The sequence below is a fragment of the Homo sapiens genome, chromosome 5 (assembly GCF_000001405.40).
Source record: "Homo sapiens chromosome 5, GRCh38.p14 Primary Assembly".
Taxonomy (NCBI): Eukaryota; Metazoa; Chordata; class Mammalia; order Primates; family Hominidae; genus Homo; species Homo sapiens.
Genome location: NC_000005.10, coordinates 153792723 through 153815131, shown reverse-complemented (window position 1 = coordinate 153815131; position 22409 = coordinate 153792723). Strand labels below are relative to the sequence as shown.

Here is a 22409-nt window from a genome sequence, read left to right as displayed (position 1 = left end):
CACTCTTCCCTCCTCTTTTCTTTTTGCAATCCTGTCTAGATTAATGATCTCTCCATGCCCTGAGCATGGAGTGGCTTTCCAAAAAGAGTAGCAGGTGTGGCTTTCACCATTCCATTTTCAGTTACTTTGGCATAACAGGTAGGTAGAGAACTCACTTGGTATTTCCTGGCCATCGTTCATCATGACCTGGTTAACAGTGACGTGGGTAGTTAGGGTTGTAAAGCCTTGGATTTAGACAGACTTAGTTCAAATCCTGGTGCTGTCACTTACAGGATTGTGAGCAAGTTATGTAATTTCTTTAAGTTTCAGATTCCTCATCTGAAAGGCCCTACTTTGAGGGCCTTTTTCATGATATAGAAGGTATGAGGTGTGCTTAACATAGCAAGTGCTCAATACATGGCAGCCTGTGCTATGATAGCCATTATGACCATTGTCCAAGCTATTTGACAGTAAGGCAGCAGAAATCGTCTTTCTCTGCAGTCAGCTGGTGTTAAGTGCTTCCTCACTCAGAGGTACCCTAGATGCTGCAAGGTGTATGCAAACAATGACTGTGGTTTTACACAAGCCTGCCAGTTTCTCTTCTTTCTCCCAACCCTTTTCTATTGTAGTAGTTATTGTCCATGCTACTGTTTGAACTTCCCTGTTCATTTATTCTAGACCTCTGGTCCTTGTTAATATGCAGTGTTCCTTGGGAAAGAAAACACTTGAAGCTGTTCTTAATCATTGATATCTAAGTATCAACAAATGTCAGATCCTTTACAGAAAGCCATTTTGCTTAAGGGGGAAAAAAAAGCTTCTAGGCAAGAATGAAAGTTGTGGTGTCTGAGGACCAAAATTATCCTCTAGATAATCCAGACTTATAAGCATGGTCTAGATTTGGTTCTGGCTGTGACTTCGTGCACATCACAGCTATACCTCTCCAGTTTGGGGATGTCTGGGAGACATTCCATGTGAACTATCCAGTTCCCTAGAGGTACTGTGATGGCTGCAAGTCAAGCCCTGGTTTTTATGCAATTGGAATTGTAGCTCCTGGAAGCCAAATACCACCGTTTGTCTTTTGTAATTGTTGTGGTTATCCTATTTGGATGAATAACTCACAATGTTCTAGTTCAGCTGAAATGACTCGAGAGCTGTTTGTGAGTTAGAAACAGTGGTCACAGTTAAAAACCTACTAGTCTTAGGCTCTGCCATAAGGAAATAATCTCTAGAGCCCCGGCTTCAGAAATGGCACAAAAATGGAATGGACAAATATGAAAAGTAGATAATGGATCCACAGTGATTTAATATTCGGTGATATTTTCATTTTATGCAAATACCAAAAGAAAAAAACCTGGCTATTTGAAAGAAAAACAAGAACCAAAAAAATACTTAGTGTTTGATCAAGCAAGAATCCTTTCACACATCTGCCAAGAGAGTTAAAACAAATATAGATGTTAAATAAAAGGCCCAGGTACCAAAGAGCAAAATTTAATGAAAGCCAGAACTGTTAAGTATGGATTCCTGTTGAGAAAAATGTCAGTCTCTTTCAGAGTTTTCCCAATGCTCTATTTTTAAGAAAAGTGTAGTAAAAATACATAATACAAGTTAACTTTTTTCTTGCTTGTGTTTTCCTTTCATTTCTCCATTGATGAAAAAGCACATTTCGCCAGAGTCTTGGACCCCCTCATAGCATAGACCCTCATTTCTAGCACAAACAAGTCTCTTTTTATCCGCTCATGTTACTTGTGGGCTCAGTAGCTGGAGAGGCATCTTACTAGGCCAAAGGCAAAAAGTCTTTGAAGCATGTTGATGTTAAAGGGTTATTTCCAACTCTTCCAAGATGCAGACTCCCTAATGGTGGGTCACATCGGATTCTGCAGTGGTAGGCTGAAGGCTGAGAAAAATCTTGTATGAGGGCAGGGGCTGAGAGACATCAGCTGGCAGTAGTTAAAAGCAATCATCCATCTTGAGGGTCCGGTTTCATGAACCATGACCACATTGACACGCGAGAGACTGAACAACAACACTTGAGTCAAAAAAGTGAAGAGTTTGATTTTGGAAGGATTCTTTGCTATGGCTGAAGGCAGGAGAGTGGAGAGACATAGAGATGGTGTGGGTCCACTGAGAGAATCCACAGAAAAGCCAATAAAGCTGCACCTACCCCTAGGTGGGCTCCAAAACCTTTAGCATGTCAATTGCTAATGATAACCCCTAGCAGAGAAAATTGGATAGAAGTAGGGGGTAAGGGAACAAGCCAGAATATGGTTATCAGTAAAAGCTAATGACACATGGCACGCACTGAATCATGCACCTAGGAGAGTGACTGCTGGAGAGCTGGAAGCCAGTTGCACCAAGAATGAGAGTTGGGATCTCCAAGAAAGCTATATGTCAGGGATTCTCACTTCCAACAAAAGCTGAACTCAGCCTGGGCTTCTCTCTATAAACCCTGCCACTTCACCAATCTTGCTTTAGTTCAGCTTTGTAGCCCCAATCATACGTATATTGGAATACAACGTCCTCATGCTATCTTAGCTGGGGGAAGGTCAGCCTCTTTGAGTTAGAACCTGGGATCAAAGGTCTTAAGTTGCCCTAAATGTCATTATCAACTTAATCCATCTCCCTATACTCCTTCAATTATTTCCTTGGTTATCTCACTTTCTAAAGATGACAGAGCATCATCTGGCCACATGCTAAAACAACACTTTATATTAACATAAAAACCCAAGTTCTTTGCATCAGCATAAACTTCATACGTGTTTTCTTAAACCTAGGATAGGGCACACCATGGGAAGCTCTATTTTGTGTGAGCTTTTGATGAGGCTTCCTCTTCCAAAATTATTCTGTCACTTTTCTTTTACACTTAGCTTGCTTAGCATTGCTCCCCATGTCAGAGGCTCCATAGAAGAAGAGAGTCTACTCCACAATGGGTTCCTGCTTAGATGCCAGGCAAAGAAAAAGTGAGAATCATGGGCAATATCTCCCTGGCTGTTATCTCTTCCCAAAATTCTGCTTGGTTTAGGAGGCCAAGTGCCTTCAGCCACCAGACTGCCGTTGAGCCTGAGCACACCAGGAGGACATACTTCTCAGGGCCAAGGTTGACTCTGAAGAAATATACCATACCACCTATGACCTATGAAATGGCTCTTCCACATTAAAGGAACTGTTTTTCTGAGCAGCAGTAACTTCAGGAGTCCTTCTCTGACTGCACATCTGCCCCTGCCCTCTCCACCACCCTCATCCTGAGTTGCTTTTCACCTGTGTTCTCCACTGAATAAGTGCTTAAGCAGTGCCCCACTTGGGGAAGGCAGCCCACTTCTCCAACAATGTCTATCTCCATCAGAGGTTTGGGCCAAGGAGTGGAGGGTAACATGGAGAGCCCCCATGGAGAATTAGTTTGAAGGTTGCTTTTTTTTCCTCTTGCTTGTAAAGTGGAACAAATCTTGAATCTCCAATCTGAAAACTGAAGAGGGGTGGGTAGGGAGTTGGGGATAAGAAGTAAGGAGAAGGAAAGGGCCTAACAGAACCTGCAAACCATGGATATTAGTAAGAAAAAAAATTGCACACACTAAGACACACTAACAACTGAATTAAAATAAAACAGTGCAGTTTCCTCATTAGTGTTCCAGTGACTCTACTCTCAGAGACACAGGTTTCATTAGACAGGGTTACTCTCCCCTTATTGCAGTACAGTGTTATTTTTTCATCCTCACTTAGCAAACAGAAAAGGGTGAAAGAACATCAAAAAAGGAAAAGGGACAGCAAAATGGTTTTTCAATTCTTCAGGAAAACCTGTTGAATCATCCTTCTTGTGGTCGCAGTGGTTGGTGGTGGTTGCGTTTCATTTTGTTGTTGTTTTTGGCACTGAAGGGTTTGGGATGGGGCTGGGGAGCCCGAGCCTGCTCCCCAAGGGGTCTCCATCTGCTCCAGTTACAATCCCGTGGCTCCCAAGGGCATCCCTGAACTGTGGCTCATGCAAGGAATCGATTGCATGGACTTGGGGAAGTCATGGCTGACCACCCGACCATTCTCTCCACTGCCGCCGCTGCTGGCTCCTGCCCCGCTGTTGCGGGGGAGGGTCGATGTCCGTATGGCTTCGTTGATGGATTGCTGTGGGATCAAACAAAAACCCTTTTCAGGAGGACCGGGGGTTCTTCCCCGGGTCCTTGGCAATGACAGGCAATGGGAATGAGTCAAGACTGGACTTCAAATGTAAATCCAACTCTGCTTTCCCATCCACCCCCTTTCCTATTCTACAACGCTAATTCTGACTTCTCAGGAACACAGAAAACTATCACTTGGCTCTGGACATGTCTGATCCCCTCTCTTAGCCTCAAGTTGAATGTTCAATGAAGTGTGTTAGATTGGGTGAGACAGAAGATCCTTTCTTATTCTTACATTCTGTGATTTCTAAAGGTGGAATATTTCCTTGGTATTATTGATTAATGTGTGATGTAGCAACACAACTAAGTGGAAAACCTTCCGGGAAAGGGGTTTGGAAACTTGGATTCTAGTTCTGGTTATGACATTAATTAGTCATGTGACTGTACATATCTCCTTAGTGTTCTAGAACTTTTAAACCTCCATGTCTATGACATGATTATCTATGCACCTACACACTGTTATTATAGCAAGAATGGTGCTACCGCATGAAAAATGCTTTGAAATGTTCAAATAAATTGAGGATGTGATATTGTTTGGTTAAAATGGAAAACTACCTCTGATTTACTTCAGAAAAAATTCTAGCCTACCTCTATAGCGGCATGTGTTAAGGGAATGTAGGACTCGTTTGAATAATACAATATGCAAAATCTAATTGGAAAGGAACATGTGCTAAAGAAAATGAGAATGCATTCCAAAGATTATCATCTGTGTGTCAACTGCTTCCCATCAGCATGTAGACCCTGTACTTCCAGACTGACATATCAGATCAGTGCCACTAAGCTTGTGACTTCTAGAATGTTGGAATTCTAGGTCTGAAAAGGACTCCAAGGATCACCCCAGAATCAGATGAGTTAAGTGGGATATTCAAGACCACAGAAAAGGTCTAGAACCATATCGTCTTAGACAAGAGGAAGCGTTCTGTTGAGCGTTCCTTTGGAGAAAGACCATTGATGATAGGAAATCCAGACTCTTATATTTTACTGTCCATCTCAAACTTTCCATTAAGAAACAATCACAGAATTTTTGAGGTGGGGTTTGGTTTCTTGGTGGGAATCAATATAAAGAATTGTCAATGGGACCAACCCTACCTCTTCTTCAAGGTGCGTTCTGTTCTCACTGTCGTCTTGAAGCCTTCCTAGACTACACCAGCCTGCTGTAAGTGCTGGCTCCTCTCATCTTGTACTCGTGCAGTATACATTCTCTTGTAATGGTTCTGCCTCCAGTGTATAAGTTTTGTCTTCTGTAAGACAGCTTTCTGGAGGAGGGCAAGGGCCATGTCTTCTCAATCCTCAGCTATCCCACAGAGTGTCCAGTAAGAAATTAGATGCATAATGATGCTTTTGAATTTGTCTAAGAAACACCAACCACCTAGGATCCATCTCAAAAAGTCTATGACTTCCTCTCTGACATATTGCCATTATTCTAGTGACCAGAGAAATCAGTCAACCTTCTGTGGCCAGACAGAGATAAACAGGGCAGTTTTGACCCATTTTTTTCCCCTGCTATCCTTGTATTACTGGCAGTTCTGACAATGTTTTAAAATGTTCTTTTTAAAATCCATGATTCAGACAGATTTGCCCCATATGATGCACCACCCACACTGGTTCTGTCTCCTCCTCAAACCCATGACTTGATTTATTTACATTCTCCCTTGGCTGTCTTCCATTGAAGAAAAAGTGTGACCTGGATTGCATTCTTCTAAGTCAAAGGCCAAATAAATACTACCTTGAAGCTACACCAGGGAAATGTAAAATGAAAATATGATAAATTAATGGTTACTTATCCTCACCTAAAAATGTTGAAGAGAAAATAACATTTTATTTATATCTGTGGGAAATATGGAAACTTCTATAGATTAGCTTGGAATGTCTATCATTCATGATTTTTCTCTGCCACATCCCTTTAATTAAGGAAAAAAGACCACTAAAGTTTACACAGATCACCCTGGACTTTGTTCCTCATAAGGCTCACATATTTTCATAATATTCCATTGAAGTTGTTGGTACTTCCTGAATTTGTCTTAAAGGACAAGATTGATAACCTAGTCAACATTGGTGCTTGCCAAAGTCTGAGATAATTTAGCCAGGCATGTAACTAAAAATCTCGAAGGTCACATCATTAGAGTTGGTATTCAAGGAAGCTGAGCACTTCTCAAAGTCAATGACTCCATACCCTTATCATGGATGGTTACTACCTTCTCACTGGCTTCTTTTTGAATACATTTATGAAAGTCAGGAGAAATGATAAATGGAGCCCAAACTTTGCAGTGGAAAGCAATGCTTAATGTCAACTACATCACTAGTTCTGAAACTTGGTTGCACATTGGAACCATCCAGGGAGTTTTGGGGAAAAAACCCTGATGCCTGAATCCTATCCTAGAGATGCTGGTGTGGTGTATGGCCTTGACATCTGGAGTTTTAAAAGCTCCCCAGGTGATTCAAAAATGCAAGCAAAGTTGAACCACATGATCTAATTTGTTCTTTTACTTTACAGACAACCTGATGACAATGACTGACTTGTTTAAGGTAACAGTTATATGTGACCTAGTGACAAGATGAATGACCTTCTAAATGTGATTCTTCCTACTCCCCCCCACTCCCCGCCCCCCGTCGTGGCTAAACTGTCATAAACTGCTGTCACTTCTCCCCTAGCCTTTGGGAATGTGGCTTTCCCTTATCCCTCCTTGACATGCCAGCCATTCTTAAAGTTCATCCTTGAGGGTGGTGGTGGTGTTTTTGGAACTGATATTCAGAGACAAAGGGATGAGTAAAAAATCCAACTTACAGACCCTAAAATTGGCCCTTTGGGACCTTATTTCCCTAACAGTGATTGCATCCTAACTTCTCAGCCACTTGCTTTTCTAAGAAGAGAGTGCTCAGCCTCTGCACATAGAATATCCTAATCAAAGCTTAAACTTCAGTAATGTCTTTGCTCAGGCAGGCGTGCAAAGCACCAGTGACCACCTGCTGTGGAGGATGCTCCCCTTGAGTTATCAAGTCTCTCAGCTGTTCATTAATTCCAGGAAAATGTGCAAGCCCTCAATTGCTGTAGCTTAAACATGCCCTATGTTAGCACAGCCGTATATAATTTTGAAAGGTCAGCATCTCTAGTGGGGGTGAGAGAGGCTGGGGATTATTTTCCTTTGGGAATGAGGTGGTGAATAATACTTTGCTGCTCTTAATATCAGCTAAGGATTCAGGAGCCAGTCTGTTTGCCCAGGCAGAGGGGAGGGGCAGGGGACCTGAGATTTTATTCAATTTGCAATGTGTCTTAGGTTATGTATTTTCTGCTGTTGTATGACAATTTGAATTAGACCGAAATGTTATGAGCTGCCTGAAGTCCCTCTCTGAGTCTCCCACTCTCACATATCACCCTTTTCCCTCAGTCTGTGTCCCAGTCTCCTTGGCCTTCTTCCCCTTTCTGGGCAAGAGTTCACATCTTTGGGTCTCTGACACTTGTGTATGGCTGGCAATTCATTTTCCTGCTTAATTCTTTTCATGCTTTGAATCTGTTAAATATCAGTTTCTCAGGGAAGCTGCTCTGACTGACCCATTCTTTTATCAGGACAGGCCTCTGCTCTATACTTGACAGCACTGGGCATTTTTTTCACTAACACTCATTGAACATGCAAGTGTTTGCTTATGTTCTGTCTTCCCCATCAAACTCTGAGCTTCTTGAGAAAAGAAGCAGTGTCTGTTTTGTTCTTGACTGTATCCCCAGTGCCAAGCCTTGCCCAGCACGCAGTGGTGCTCAGTATGTCTTTGTGGAAGGGATGCCTGTAGGGTGCCTTCCCACTATCTCTGTGACACTTGTCCTGCTCATCGACATGTCAAAGGGGAAAGAGACCCATCAACACCCAGCAAGGGTTTAAATACTATAGTCAGTCAGATGAGGGGAACTGAAGGGTAGAGCTACATTTTATTTGTCTTTGTGAGCAGCACTGTGGCTGGGACTGGAAGAACAGAGAATAGGTGCTCAAAAATGATCCGTTGCCATGTGGTTGAAGGAGGACAGAGAGATTTAGGAAAAGTGGCTTGGCTAGTACCAAAAGCCCAGGCTTTGTGGAGACCATGTTGGAGTTCTAATTCCTGGTTTTTTAGTTTCTAGCTTGTGTGACCTAGTCAGGAAAAGCTACTTAGCTTCTTTGAACCTTTATTTCATCTGTAGGATTGTAAGAACAACTTATTGCATGGTTAATGAAAATGTGTAGAAATCACTTTGAACATAAAAGTTACTGAAAAATCATCTTTCCTTCTTCGCTTCCTTTCATCTCTCTCTCTCCTCCACCCTTCTTTCTCTTTTCTGCCCCTCTTCCTCTCGTTCTTTCATCCATGAAGAGTGAGGAAGATGTTTTTAAGCACTGTTGAGCCACATGAGAAGATGACCCTGAACGAGTTTAGGGGGTTAAGGCCTTAAGAGTGGGCCAAGGGCGGGGCGTGGTGGCTCATGCCTGTGGTCCCAACACTTTGGGAAGTCAAGGCAGTGGATCACGAAGTCAGGAGATCGAGACCATCCTGGCTAACATGGTGAAACCCCATCTCTACTAAAAATACAAAAAATTAGCCAGGTGTAGTGGCACGTGACTGTAGTCCCAGCTACTCGGGAGGCTGAGGTAGGAGAATCACTTGAACCTGGGAGGCAGAGGTTGCAGTGAGCCGAGATTGCACCACTGAACTCCAGCCTGGACAACAGGGTGAGACTCCGTCTCAAAATAAAATAAAATAAAATGAAAAAATAAAGAAAAAAAAGAGTGGACCAAATACTGTGATAATGGAAAGAAATGAGAGGGAAAGCTCTCATCAAATGCCCATGTCATCACCAATTTGGGTCTCTGTAAGGTTGGGGGCTGCACTTCTGAAAAGAACTAATTGCTTTTGGAGAAAGCTAAGCACAGAAAAATAAAGAGAGCTGCAAAGCTGAAAAGTCTGAGAGGCAAGTTGAATGCATTTGTCTTATCTCTTTCGGATAAGAGAGGAGTTGATGGAGCATCAACAATTAAGGCTGGGTTGATTAATAAAGAAAGTACCTTTTCTGCAGTTGGAAGATGGGAAATTCTATTAGGAGCCTCAGTGAGTTGGGTAGAAGTCACACCAATCAACGGAATTAATTCTAGAAGATTGTGGTGGAAGACATTATATTAATGATTCCAAGAGACCCTGATGTTGGCTTCTGAAAAATTTAACATCTTCATTGTAAAGGGAAGGGTGAGAATGTCCCCAAGAAGCTATGCCATGACTCAGTGGCCTCTTTGAAAGATTCTCATTTTAATCTAAATAGTGTGACTTCAGTGAAGGTCAACATGGTCCCAGTTTTAAGAGGATCCCAGGCATTAGCCACTCTGGCACCACCACCTGGCACTGGTTATGATTATTGGGAGTCACTGTAATCCCAGAGAAAGGGCTGGATGTCCAGGAGCTTTCCTGCTTGGTGGATGACTGGTCTCGTCATAGTTCATGAGCACAAACATGGGGCCAAAACTGCCCCTTGGATGATATTGTTTGTAATTCCTAGACTGGGTGGTTTTGACGGCAATACTTGCTTTAACTAAGAGCAGCTCCCTCCCATGCCCTGCCTCATCCTGTAAGAGATTTTCTCCTTTGGATACAATTTCACATTAATTTTACTAATACTTACTCTCAGTGTGTGGGATGTCCACACAACCCCTTACCTTAAGGAACTCACAATCTATATAGCTTAAGAACCCTAGCTCATGTAAATAGGGATAATAAAAGGAAAGTTTTAAGGAGGATGTATCTGGCCACTAGTAACAACTATTATTTGAAATACTAGTTATCATTGTCATTATTATTTACTGAGGGCTTACTGGGGCCCAGGAATTTTGCCAAGCTCTTTATAATCCATTATTTCATACAATCCTTACAACAATGTTATGAGGTATGTACTACCACTGCCTCCATTTTATAGAAAATGAGGATCAGAGGCCTGGTGTGGTGGCTCACGCCTGTAATCCCAGCACTTTGGAAGGCCGAGGTGGGTGGATTATCTGAGGTCAGGAGTTTGAGACCAGCCCGGTCAACATGGTGAAACCCCATCTGTGCTAAAAATACAAAAATTAGCCAGGTGTGGTGGCACACGCCTCTAATCCCAGCTACTCGGGAGGGTGAGGCAAGAGAATTGCTTGAGCCCAGGAGATGGAGGTTGCAGTGAGCTGAGATCATGCCACTGCACTCCAGCCTGGCCAACAGAGCAAGACTCTGTCTCAAAATAAATAAATAAATAAATAAATAAATAAATAAATTAATTAATTAATTAATTAATAAGGATCAGAGAGTTACTAAAACCTAAGATGACATAGTTAACAAATGGAGAAGATAGAATTTATGCCCAGACGTTCATTCTCCAGAGCTTCTACTCTAGATGATGATGCTGTACTGTGTCTTAGACAAGCAATGAGAAGAAAGGAACTCCTTATAATCTGTACTGGGCCAACTCTGGGCCTCTGGCTTGAGTCATGGTCTATAGAGAAGGTTTTGAGGGATGGTACAGGTTGTAGCTCCCCTAGTTCTTGTCCTGTTCCCCTTTTTTGCCACCGGAGTAACCTTTCCTCATTTTGGAGGGTAAGGTAGGAGAGTCTTTAGTCCTGTGTTTTGAATGGAATGGTCAAAGAGCTTTGAGTAGGTTCTAGGAGTCCTTGTGTGTGTAGCCAAGCTCCTTGGAGGTCTACATTGGGTTTAGAGTCTGAAGCCCATGCCTTTGTAGTTCTTGTCATTTGAGAGGACATGAGAGGGACCTGGAGATGGATGAGCTGGTCAAGAGTAGGATTGGGGTGTTCCTAGGTCCCTGGTGAAATGTCATTGAACTTCCATTCCTTAATTGTTCCTTGTTGTGTCTTGGAGAAGTTGCCTTTTAAATGGGCTCTATGAAACAGAAGACAGGGTGAGGGATCGGCCCATAAAAAGGCACATGAGTGGGAACATGAGGTGGGGGCGAAAGTATGGAGTACGTGAGGAGAGCAGATTGCTAGGGTGGGAGTGGGGTAGGTAGGCTGACAGGGAAATGCTGAATGCCAGGACAGAAGGCCCCCAGCTCCTCATGTACAGAACTAAATACAGAATTTCTAAACAGAATGAGCAAATGTTCAGAGATATCTTCTCCAAGGGCGACCCCGGAGGTGTGTGTAGGATTGAGGGTCCAAGGCAGGGAGAGGCTGGGCAGGAGGCTATGTATGGATCCAAGAGTGGGCATACTGAGCTTGGAGGCAAATGTCTGTTGAAAAGTAGGCTTCTTAGGGTACAATCTAATAAAGCAAATTCTACCAAGGGATCTTGTTAGTCTTGTCAAATCAAGGTAACAGTATAGGTCAGCATATCACCATGGCTGCATTGCCCAGAGGGACTGTACTTCTTTCCCCTTCTCTATCTAGATCCCACCTGTCCTTCTGAATTTTGGCATCTTCCTGGAAGCCTTCTTCAATCTTTCTTCTCTAAATTCCTGTAGGCCTTCCTATCTATGCCATAGATTGCCTCACTGAGTAATTATTTTGTGCCCATTCTTTGTGGAAGGTGAAAGGTGCTGGAGATCATAGAATGCACCTCCCTCCTCTCTGAGTCCTCATGATGCCTTGATCATGGTATTGTTCACATGATTAACTTCCACAAATAATTTCTTACTGAAGCTAAATGTTGAGGGGCCTTGAAGATCATTTAATCCAAACTGCCTTTTGATGCTTGAATCCATATTCTTGTCAAGAGTTATTCATCCTCTACTTGTATACCTTCAGTGATGTTGAAGCTTGCTACTTTTTGGGATATTCTAGCCTTTCTTTAGATAGCTCTTTTAGAAAAGTAAATTTAGTGTATCGTGTTAACATTTATCCTCTATCACCTTTAGTCATCTGTTCTTGTTGTATACTTTGGGACTCCATAGAACTAGCCTGTTTTCTTTTTCCACTTGGAAAATATTGGTATTTTACAGACAGCTCTTAAATCCTCCACAGTTCTCTTCTCCAGTTCCCGTTAGCTACATTTGATGTGGTTTGGGGTCATCTCACTAATCTGCTTACCTTTCTCTGCACATGGTCCTCTTTGTCAATGTCTATTTCTTAGAGTGGAGCCTAAGAAAAGACCCAATTCACCAGGTATGACAAGGTCAGCACAGAGTAGAGGGTAGACATCCTTTCCTCTCTTTTGCAGCCACACTTCTGATGAAACTTCAGAGAGAATGAGCCTTGGTAGCCATCACTCTTGCCTCTCGCTGCGCTACCTATCCATGTAAACCACTAGCCTTCAATCTCACTGACCCCACTCTGGCAAATGCAATTTTTTTCTTGGGCCTTGTGTCTGGCCTGACACACCCCATCTTCCTTCCTTTCTCATGGCTGCCTTTGTCCCCGTCACCTTCCTCGTAACAGCTTCCTGCTTCCTGTCTTGTGCTGACCTCAACCACCTGTCATTCCCCACCCTTTCTAGCAAAGGGACTCCCAGGAAACCCAGCTGCATCACAGAACAGGTTAGGAAAAAGGCCCGGGAAGACGATGCCACCTTCATCCGCTTGGATTCACTACGGGATTTGTAGCAGAACTCGATTAAGGCAACCAGCATGGCTAGTCCAAGTCCTCCGATCAGGATGTAGAACACGCCTGCCACATTGCTGAGGCTCAGAGCGCTTGTCTTGTCCTAAGAAGAGGAGGAGGGAAAGGAAGGGGAGGGGGAAGAATAAAGTGAGTCAAGAGGCTAAAGACCATCCAAGCAGCAGCATATTTTCACACATACACACAACCCCACACCCTCTTTAACATTTGCAATAGCTGGATAGGCTATTTATTCATTGACCAAGTGTTAAACATTCCCCAGGAAAAAAGTGTGTGTGTATATGTATTTATACATTTTCCAAGCCTCCCTGACTATGTTGAACTTGTAATTACAATTCCCCACTCCTCAATGCCTTTTCTAGGGTGAGAGATATCACAAGAAATTTAGGGCAGCTTCTACCAAAATTTGCACCTTTGAGCTTAGCCCATTCTTTCAAAAAACCATGTCCCTTCCTTTTCAGCTCCATTCCTGCCCCCCGCCCCCCCCCGCCCCAATTTCCTCTGTTGCTTGGTAACCCATTGGCCTCACTCATTGTTTATGTCCCCGAGCATTTTTCTGAGAGTTGGTACTTACAATGAACTTTCCCCTAGATGTGCATTCGATTTCAATTTAATAAGACAGTTATTGTATATATAATAAAGACCAACTGATATATATGTTAACTTACTGCTCTGAGTGCCAATTTAGGGGGAAGAAAAACTAGGGGGCTTAGAATAGTAAAAAGGCTCTGAGATAGAAAAATGGCTCTATTAAATCTTAATAATTATGCTTAATTGATATCATTTTTCTGTTGGAGGTGCTTGCTAAAAACACTGGAGGCAGACCCAGGTGGCTGAATTTAGAAATATCTGTTGCCTGAGATAAAAGATCTTACACTGGTTTGGGATGAGCAGGGTCACAGAAAAGGGTGCTTCATTCCTAGGAGTCTGAAGACAAGTACTCATGTCTAGTGGGAGGTGGCCAGGGCTCACCCTGTGGAGCCAGAGGAAGGCCACTGGTCTCCTGAGATCATCCCTGAGTTCTGTCACCTCCAGTGGAGTTCAAAAGTGAAGGTCTGAGGGACAACACCTTCCCAAGTGGTGAGAACAATCAAACACAACTGATGGTCATGGTGGGAGGTGGCCAGGGCTCACCCTGTGGAGCCAGAGGAAGGCCACTGGTCTCCTGAGATCATCCCTGAGTTCTGTCACCTCCAGTGGAGTTCAAAAGTGAAGGTCTGAGGGACAACACCTTCCCAAGTGGTGAGAACAATCAAACACAACTGATGGTCATGGTGAGAGGTAATGGCTCAGGAAGCGCAGCAAGTTGCTCAGTCAAACTCTTGACACAGGCAAAAGAACATCTTTAACTACTAGGAGAATACTCATTCCTAGATGTCATGGCAGCTCTAACACCTTTGTTTATATTGTTTGTTCATGTACAATAAATGTCTCATTGAATTAAAATGAAATGCCTCAATTGGCACAGGTACACACCATCGTTGGCTAGTTGGTGGCATAGGATAGGATGTGGCCTTTATACCTCTCCATGTGTTCCTTTTCAGGTGGGGAAGTAGGTGAGCCATGCAAGGGGTGGACCGTATTGCCCTAGAGACTCTTCGACTGACGTCTGCCTATTAGAATCGGGGCATATGGAAAGGAATCGCTTATTGACCAATAAGTCAGTGGCCTCTGCCCTAGTTCTAGTTGGTGCATTGTACAGGATTCAGCAGGACTGAGCTTGGGGACTGTAGCTGGTAAATAGCAGCATCCCTTCCCTTCCAGTAGCAGCTTTGGCCAGCAGAGCTGTAGGATTATCTAAAGCATGCCCCCTTGGTGGCTTCCTGTATTGCTAAAGCAGATGGCTCTTGAATATAGGTTACACTTGGCAAGGCATAGCCTGGCTTTGGAAGCAGTAGAAATGATTATTCAAAGGACTCAAAGGGGCAAAATTTCTCCTGCTCTTCTATAATGGCCTGATAAGGGTAATGTGCAAAAAATGAGTTCAGTGCTTGGTTCAAGAGTTGGCTGAACAGGTAAATTCCCACTTCACATGATTTTTAGAACACTCAAAATGTCTCCCTGTTTGTTGTTCAGAAGGCATGTATTTCTTCCTCTGGAGAGTAATGCTTTAGAGTCCTTGGGGGACTTAGAGTTCACAGAAGTTCCTATGAAACTCTTCTGTTTAAACAGGGGTAGGGGTGGGGTTAGGAGGCATGTATTATCAGCTCAAACCTTAGTAAAGAGTGGTTGACAGTGGAGCTCAGAAGGAGTAGGTAGAGGGACAGGCCTGAGGGCAGGTGGTAAAAAAGAAAGCTGGAGGCTGCTGACTTCATGAGCTGATCAGTCTTTCAATAGCCAAAGCACACCTTGCCCCTTTGGTCACCAAGCTGTTTTCTTCTTGAGGTTTACCTTGGTTGTGGATAGCCTCCAAGGACAAGGGAGTGATGGGCATCTTTTTCTGTTATTATCTTCAAAAGGCCCTAAGAGGGTATCTGCCTCCCTGGTTTACAAGGAGGAGCATTCACTTCCAGTATATCTAGGAAGGAAGTAGGGTGAGATTTTCATATGGACGGGGGGTGGAAAGGCATGTTCTATATAGGCAAAGAAGGAGGGCCTAATGACTGATTATGTCTGGAGGTGAAGAGCATCCTTCACTTTAGAAGAAGGTCTCCGGCCCAGGGAGATGGCAATGTGTGTGAGGGGGGATACATCCTTTACAAAGAGGACAGCTAGACGGTATAGGAACTGCCACCTTTTGAAGGATGCACAATGTCATTGATCACTGTTTATGCTGACACAGCTCTGTAGTAGAGGAATCAGGAAAGACCTCTGGAATCAAGGGAGAACCTGGGCCCAATTGCCACCAATATCACAGGTAACACAACCACCTAAATTCAGATTTATTTAATAGGATGTGGGATGAAGGACTGGTGTTGGTGTAGTCTTAGTCCAGATAGCTGAGGAGTTTCAATTTACACAAAATGTTCTGATTCCCTTTAAGCGTGTCATTAGCTTTTTGATACGGTCTTTCTAAGGAGGCCTCAGGCCATGGTCTTCTGTTTAGTTGCCTTTACTGACTCTCTTTGTCTCACTCTGTGGGAATAAAATGGGAAATCCTGGGGCAGGGACAAAAATTCCTTTTATTTGAGGACCACAGCTCTGGTTCCTCTGGTCTGCAGTGTCCATAAAAGAGGCAGCTTCCTCGTGGATCTGTGTATAAACAGCTACTCACATTTCACAGCTACACACTTCCCAGCTGTGATCGGGGACAGGGGAGAGATGGAGTTTGAGTCTTCTGAGCACCCCTCAGGGTACCCCATTCTCCTATTCCATAGCAGCTGCACACCAGAAAAGCTAGGCAGCTTGTCAGGGGGGGGTGGAAAAGTCACAATTCACCTCCCGCCAGGAGTGGGGAAAGAGAGTGACAGTACCAAGAAGAGTGACAGGTGAAAAGAAAAATATAACTCCTGTCTTGCAGAATCGCTGGGCTTGTTGCTATGGTGACGAATGGTGACGAGTGGTGATGAAACCCCCCCACTCATCTGTTCTCCTTAACCTGTTGTCTTGATTTGCTGTCTCCCTCATATGGAAAGGAGATTTCCCCCCCTATATTTCTCCTTGTTCTTTCCACATACTGGGGGACTGTCTCAGGTTCCCTCTGTGCTTCTGAGCCAACATCCCTTCCAAGAATGTAGGGCTGATTCATGAGGAGGTCTGAGCTAGTCCTAGGGTAGAGAGACTTGAAACTTTCTTTATGGAATAAGCAGAAAGCTCTAGGGAGAAGCCAAGGCTTTTGGCCGTCAGACCAGTGACTTCCACTGAGACTGGTGTTGCCTGCCATCAAGACCTGCTAACTTCAGGCCAAGCTTCAGTTTCTCCAAATGCTTTCATTCCTTCTTATCTTCTTGGAGAAAGTATAAACTCGTACAAAGCAAAAGCAGTTTTGCTTCTCTCTATATCCTATCTAAGTTCCATACAATTTTCTGTTATGTTTACACCTGGATTTTTAGGGGAAGCCTACGTGCCCTCCACATGCTGAATCTGTAATCTGACTTAGCCTTTTAGGGCCACAAAGAAAGGTCCACCCATTAGCTTTTCTGCTACAGTAGGCTTTCTTTTGTGCTTTCTCAAAACTTGTATTTTTGGCTTAAGGACCGTTTCCCTGAGCAGTTGACTACTTCCTGGGAGTGAAGGCTGAGTGGTTGGCTAGGCTCACTCATTAGCTAAGACCAAAGTGAGAAAATTATGGGGAGGTGGATTTGGTTCAACCAAAGGAGAGCTTTTAAATAAACAGCTGTCAAAAGGTGGAATGCACTGCCATAGGAAGTGGTGAGTTCCTCAAACATGAACACATTCAGGAAGAAGATGACAAGGTCATGTAAGGAATTCAAGCACTGAACACAGAACTGGACCAAATGACCTTTGACACTTGTCCCCACCCCCAAAACATTTGAGGCACCTAAGGAGTTTCTAGAGGGTCTGGGATCATGCCTTTTAAAAATTCTCCCTAGAGACTAATACCTTTAGGGAATGCAAAAAAGGAGCTCGTGTTAATTGGTAACGTCTGCTCTTCCATTTCCAATCTAGGCCAGTTCCCTAGCCTTCATATTTTCCCCAAGAGCGACATGGGATGAGAACTGGCCCATTGTTCTAATAATCAGCAAGGCAAATACTGTGAAAGTGATGGCTGTGGGGGTGGCTTTTCTCAGCAGTGTGTGCTCAGGGACCGGCTGCTGTACAATGCACCGCAGAACATCCTGACTCAAAACAAAATTGCATTGAGGAGATGATGTGGCTTGCAGAGGGGAACCCAAGGACTGGCTAAGGCTGAGGCCTCTTCAAAAGGGGGAGGTATTTTTCAGAACAGAAGCATCAGTCTGAGTGTAACATGGGTGTCCCCACAGAAAGCCTTCACTCTGAGTTGAATATGTGCTTGGACTATGCATTGGTGAGCAGGGGCCTTGTGTGTTGGGAAATTGTCCCCAGAGGTGTTTCTGGCTCAAGGTCCAGAAGAGAGTTTTAAAAGAAACACTTTTGTTTTTGTCTAGTCCCTTCCTCTAGGGCAGTGTTAGAAAATTTAAGGATGTGTGGCTTTGGGACTTTGGACAGGATCCAGGGTGTTTTGACATTCAGTCTCTGATATGGATAACTGTTGTATGTCGGACATGTTATCTTGGACCACACATAACTCCCAGAAGATTCACCTAGAAGTCACTGGTTCTCTCCAGGCTGTTGCCTACTGTGCCTTACAGAAATCAGGAAACCTGACCCTGAGCAGGAACATAGCTGGAGCCCAAAGTCTCTAGGGCGTGGGGGTAATGGAATGACTTCTGCATCTCTTGGTCTCAAGGGCTTTCTTTCTCCACTCACGTCCCTCTGACATTGCCCTCCTGGGGTCTCTTTAGTGCAGGAACATTCAGTGGGAAGGGGAAGGAGCAAGCGGAGCAGAGCATCATTGTGTGAATTCCCAGGTCCTTCCAGATGGCCAATGCTCTTTACCTGTGAGGAGGGCAGGGATGGGGCTTGTACACAGTGTGTTTTCAGTCCTTTTGCCTTCCAGGCCTTGCTGACAGTAGGGGAAAGAAAGTGAGTACATCCAGAATGGATGGACTTACCCTGCTGATGGTGAAACAGTGTGGCATTATATTATAAAACAAGCCGGGGGGTGGGGGTGGGGGCAGGATATCTAAGCTCAGTTCATGAATTCATGCCCAGCTTTATCATTGAGTCACTGGGCAATCTTGGGCGAGTCACACAGTGAGTGTTGCCCACCTCTGGATGGTATGGGAGACAGTGTTAGATGATACACTGAAGTAAATGACATTGACTACAAAGTGAGGATGTCATTCTCTTTTCAATTCTCTTTTAATCTTTCTGAGTAAAGCCAACAAGAAAATCTCAGTTTGGTGCTGATCATCTTTAACACTGATCACTTGCTCCTCTCGCTTTTTAAGAAGCAGCAGCCCTCAGTTGTAAAGGTGACTGTAATTTAATATTTTTTTGTTGTCATTATAGTTATTTATATGGTTGCCTTCTTTTTTTTGCAAGAAGTACTGACTTTCTACTTGTGATAGTAGTGCTGCTACTTTTTATATGAACTCGATTAAAGTAGTAATGAAGATAGTAGCTTTAAAGGAACACGTGAAGCAAATAACGACACAGGTGGTATGTGAATGCTTGAAGTTTTGCCAGGGTGGGATTAAATCCTCTGCAGGCTCTCTTTCAACTCTAAAGCCTGGAATTTGTGATAGAGGTAACAAGTTCAGGTCATGAGACTCTCTTCCTTCAACTCATCATGAATTCACACCTGTACCTGGATGGAGAACCCTGCTTGGAGGCCAATTCAATGGCCCTTGAATGTGTAAGCCAAAGGGTATCCTTAAAATAAAGGTGAGGGATCATGCCAGCTGCTTGATGTCTGACTTGTCCAAAAAAAAAAAAAAAAGTTAAAAAAAAAAAGAGTTCAGTATCCCTGAGCAAGACCCAGACCATCATTTTGGGTAAATAATTAGGGGTAGCCAAAAGGACCATCCTGGGTTGTGTGCTAAACGGCCCTGTCCCACAGCAAAGAGTACTTGCCATGAGGTGACAGCCTTGCATATAACTCCTCACTGGTTTGCTTCCATTTTTTTCAGAACACAGTGGATAATGGAGCCTTTTGAAGGGGTAGGATCAGGTTCCATGGGGTTGGGAAACACTGGCGTGCTGATATTCAAACTTTTTAACCCTGCCTGGACTCTTGGACATCAAGGCCCTGCTGGGGCCCAGCTCTCTAAGGCCTCCAAGCCTCTCTGAGGCTCGGAGGACACTGTTCAACACTGTGCATTTTTGTTACAGGTGTGCGTGACCTCTGTAGCCGGTGACTGACCTTACTTCCGGAGTCCTTGCTTCCACATTCCCCTTTATCGTACCACCATTTGCTTTTCAGCTTGTCTAAGACGCCTTGCTCACTGAGTTTCAAAACCGCTAGGTTTACGGGACCTCTTCAACCAGGGGGGAAATAACATAAATAACATTACCAATGTTATTTTATGTTATTCAGCACAGACAGTATTCATTCACATCATTCATTGAACAAGATCATATGCACTGACAAAGTGATACTCTAAAATACTCCATCTGGCCCCGCCCCACCATGTCACTGCCCGCCCAACACACTCACACAGTTCTTTCTCTAGTATAGCAAGATGAGTATCACTATATCACTTTGAGTAACCAGCAACGTCTACCATCTACTGCTGAAGATACTGGCCCAAGTCCAGCTGCCATGGGTGCCTGGGGACCCTCCCTGTCCACAGGCTCTCTGGCTGCTCACCCAGCCTTGGTGTGTATCTCAGAATCTGCTTCCATGCCTAGGATCCAGAGCAGGCCCTTTGAAAAAAAGGGCACCCTGTAGCACACAGACCCTGCCCTCAGTTGGAGGAGGTGGAACATTTCTGGAAAAGAAGGTCCAGGCACAATGTCCTCATATCTTGGTTATGGGACCAGAGCAGATGCTGGGGTCCTGGGGACTGGAAACTGTGGTAAACCAGAAGGCCCCTTGGAAGAGAAGTAGAGGATAGTTTGATGCTACTTCTACTCAACCAAAGGGCTTCCCTTTGACATTAATTTATCTTTTCTTTTTAGTATTAGGAAGCAGGATAGGTATTGGGAGAACAGTTGCTGGTTACCAGCCATGCTATTTCATACCCACTAGGTTTTTTTTTTTCTTACTGGGGCTGACCTTGGAATCACCTCCCCCGCTGCCGCACTCGCCCTTGTCGTACCACCATTTGTTTTTCAATTTGTCCAAAAGCCCCTGCTCGTTCAGTTTTAACACTGCCAGGTTTACTGGATTTCTTTAAAAACGAATAAATAACACTCGATGAGTAACAGGTGGAGAACACTCAGCAAGTCACGTGACCCAAGGGATCGGTGAATCAGCTCCATTACCCAGCCTGCCAGGTTGCCCTTTGACCTGAGGATGCCCTGCCCCCAACATCACTGCAGGAATTGGGGGATGGAGCCAAGGCATAGTCTCCATCATTGACTCCCATTATGGAGAGGCGTCATTGTAACCTAAGTTTTCAGAAGTTGGGTATTTTGAAAGCAATGGCCCCAATAGTTTTCCCCTCCTGTCTGCTTTTATAGATTTCTTTTTCTTTCTTTTTTTCTTTTCTTTGCAAAGTGGACTTTAATACAGCCTGAATGAAAGACGGGCATCGGTGCTCATGGTTAATGTTCAAGGGTCAAAGGAGTTATCAACTTGGCAAAGTAGGGAGCAGGGGAAGGCACCTGGCTCACCCATTCCTCTGAGTGTTTCTCACATCACAGTAGACATAGAAAGAGAGATATAAAAACAACATGATTGGCATTCTATTAATCAAGTCACATAAAGAAATAATTAGGCAAATTTCAGGAAAACCTGAGAAGTAGAAGAGGACAGAGTCAGATTAAGGTGTAATTAAACACTTCAGACATTTCAGGACAGAGGAAAACAGATTCATCAGAAGGCCATGGTTGAGTCATTTTCCTGAGGCTTTCAGAACAATCTTACTTCATTTACATGACTGCTGTTTAGGCTTAAAAGAGAAAGGCAGTGAGGATCATGAAACTTTTAGTTGGAATCACCATGCTTAACAGTTGACAGCTTTGGAGGACCACAGACACCTGCTCCAATAAGTCAAGTTAGTATTCGGCAAATCCCAAGGCAGGAGTTTCTGGCCACATCAATGACAACATGTACATATAACATATCCAGGGCCATCTGCAAGGGCCAAGGGAGTCCATCTAAATTTCTCTATGGACAACTCCTCACTTGCCCTCTGAGACCCTGTTCAAGTGTGACTTATAAGGGTTTATGTGCTGGGCCCATTGGTGCATGAGCCACAGGCTGGAACAATTTTGTTGGCTGAGTTTGCCACCTCATCCTTCAACACCTAACCTAGTTCTTTAGACAAGGAGTTGACCATCTTTCAGGACATAACATGCCTCATCTTCTATTTATCTACTTTCTCCTAAGGATTACTCTGATGATGGTATCACCTTAAGTTGAGGCCCAGTGTTTACTTAACTTAGGTGAGATGGGTTCACAGACCATCATGAGGCAGTAATACGATGAAGGAGGATGTCCCCAATGGTAGGTGGCAAGGAGCACTGATGGAAGGCAAAGAAGCCATCAAACCCAGACTGCTCCCCATGGCCTGACCCTTTTACTATTATGAATCCCAGGTGCCTGTTCCATTCCACTGCTGAATGTAGACAGTTGACAGAGCAAACATTTTTATTTTCATTGTTTTCATTATTTGTTTGTTTTTAAAAGAGCTGAACCTTGGCTATTTGGTGACTCTAGTGTTATCAGAAGCATGTTGATCCCTCCCTGGGAAACACTTTTGACTCACAGCAGCTCTGATTACTATAACCGTTACCTTTTATTTATGCTTGTCAGTCGCTGGGCAGCTAACTAGACTGTGGCATATGGATCCCTGAAGGCAAGGAGAGAGACTCCAAATGCTGGTTTGCTGTCTGAAAAGGAGTTCATATTTATGATTTTGCTTACCCCACATTGGGATTTTAAATGTGGCAATTTTCAAGCTGGGAAAGCAATTTCCATTAACAGATCCCAGAAATGCACTCTTTAGTCTTTTAGGTACCTTTATGGGCCAGTACTCCTCTCTCTCTCTCTGTCTTTCTCTCTCTGTTTCTTCTTCTCTCCACTCTCTCCCTCTCAAAAGAAAGAAAGAAAGGAGAGAGAGAG

General features: G+C 43.8%; 1 protein-coding gene across 14 annotated transcripts in view, besides 1 other annotated feature; it reads right to left on the bottom strand.

Annotated features, from left to right (window-relative positions):
- Nucleotides 1263–22409, bottom strand: part of GRIA1 (glutamate ionotropic receptor AMPA type subunit 1) — a 324255-nt gene continuing 303108 nt past the window's right edge. For 6 of the 14 annotated variants that reach the window (XM_047417128.1, NM_001364166.2, NM_001364167.2 and 3 more), the window contains 3 exons: nucleotides 19542–19656; nucleotides 12642–12776; nucleotides 1263–4107 (listed from right to left, as the gene is read on the bottom strand). In XM_047417128.1, coding sequence (XP_047273084.1) covers nucleotides 3907–4107; nucleotides 12642–12776; nucleotides 19542–19656 — 451 coding nt within the window. In that variant the 3' untranslated portion in view covers nucleotides 1263–3906. Of the gene's footprint in view, nucleotides 4108–12641; nucleotides 12777–19541; nucleotides 19657–20386; nucleotides 20512–22409 lie in introns of those variants that run through there. The other 8 variants (NM_000827.4, NM_001364165.2, NM_001258019.2 and 5 more) reach the window with 4 other exon arrangements.
- Nucleotides 17559–17608: a silencer, noted in NCBI's record as "silent region_16532". NCBI's record gives its function as "represses an Ori minimal core promoter by ATAC-STARR-seq in GM12878 lymphoblastoid cells {active_cell/tissue: GM12878}" and the evidence as "EXISTENCE:reporter gene assay evidence [ECO:0000049][PMID:35858748]".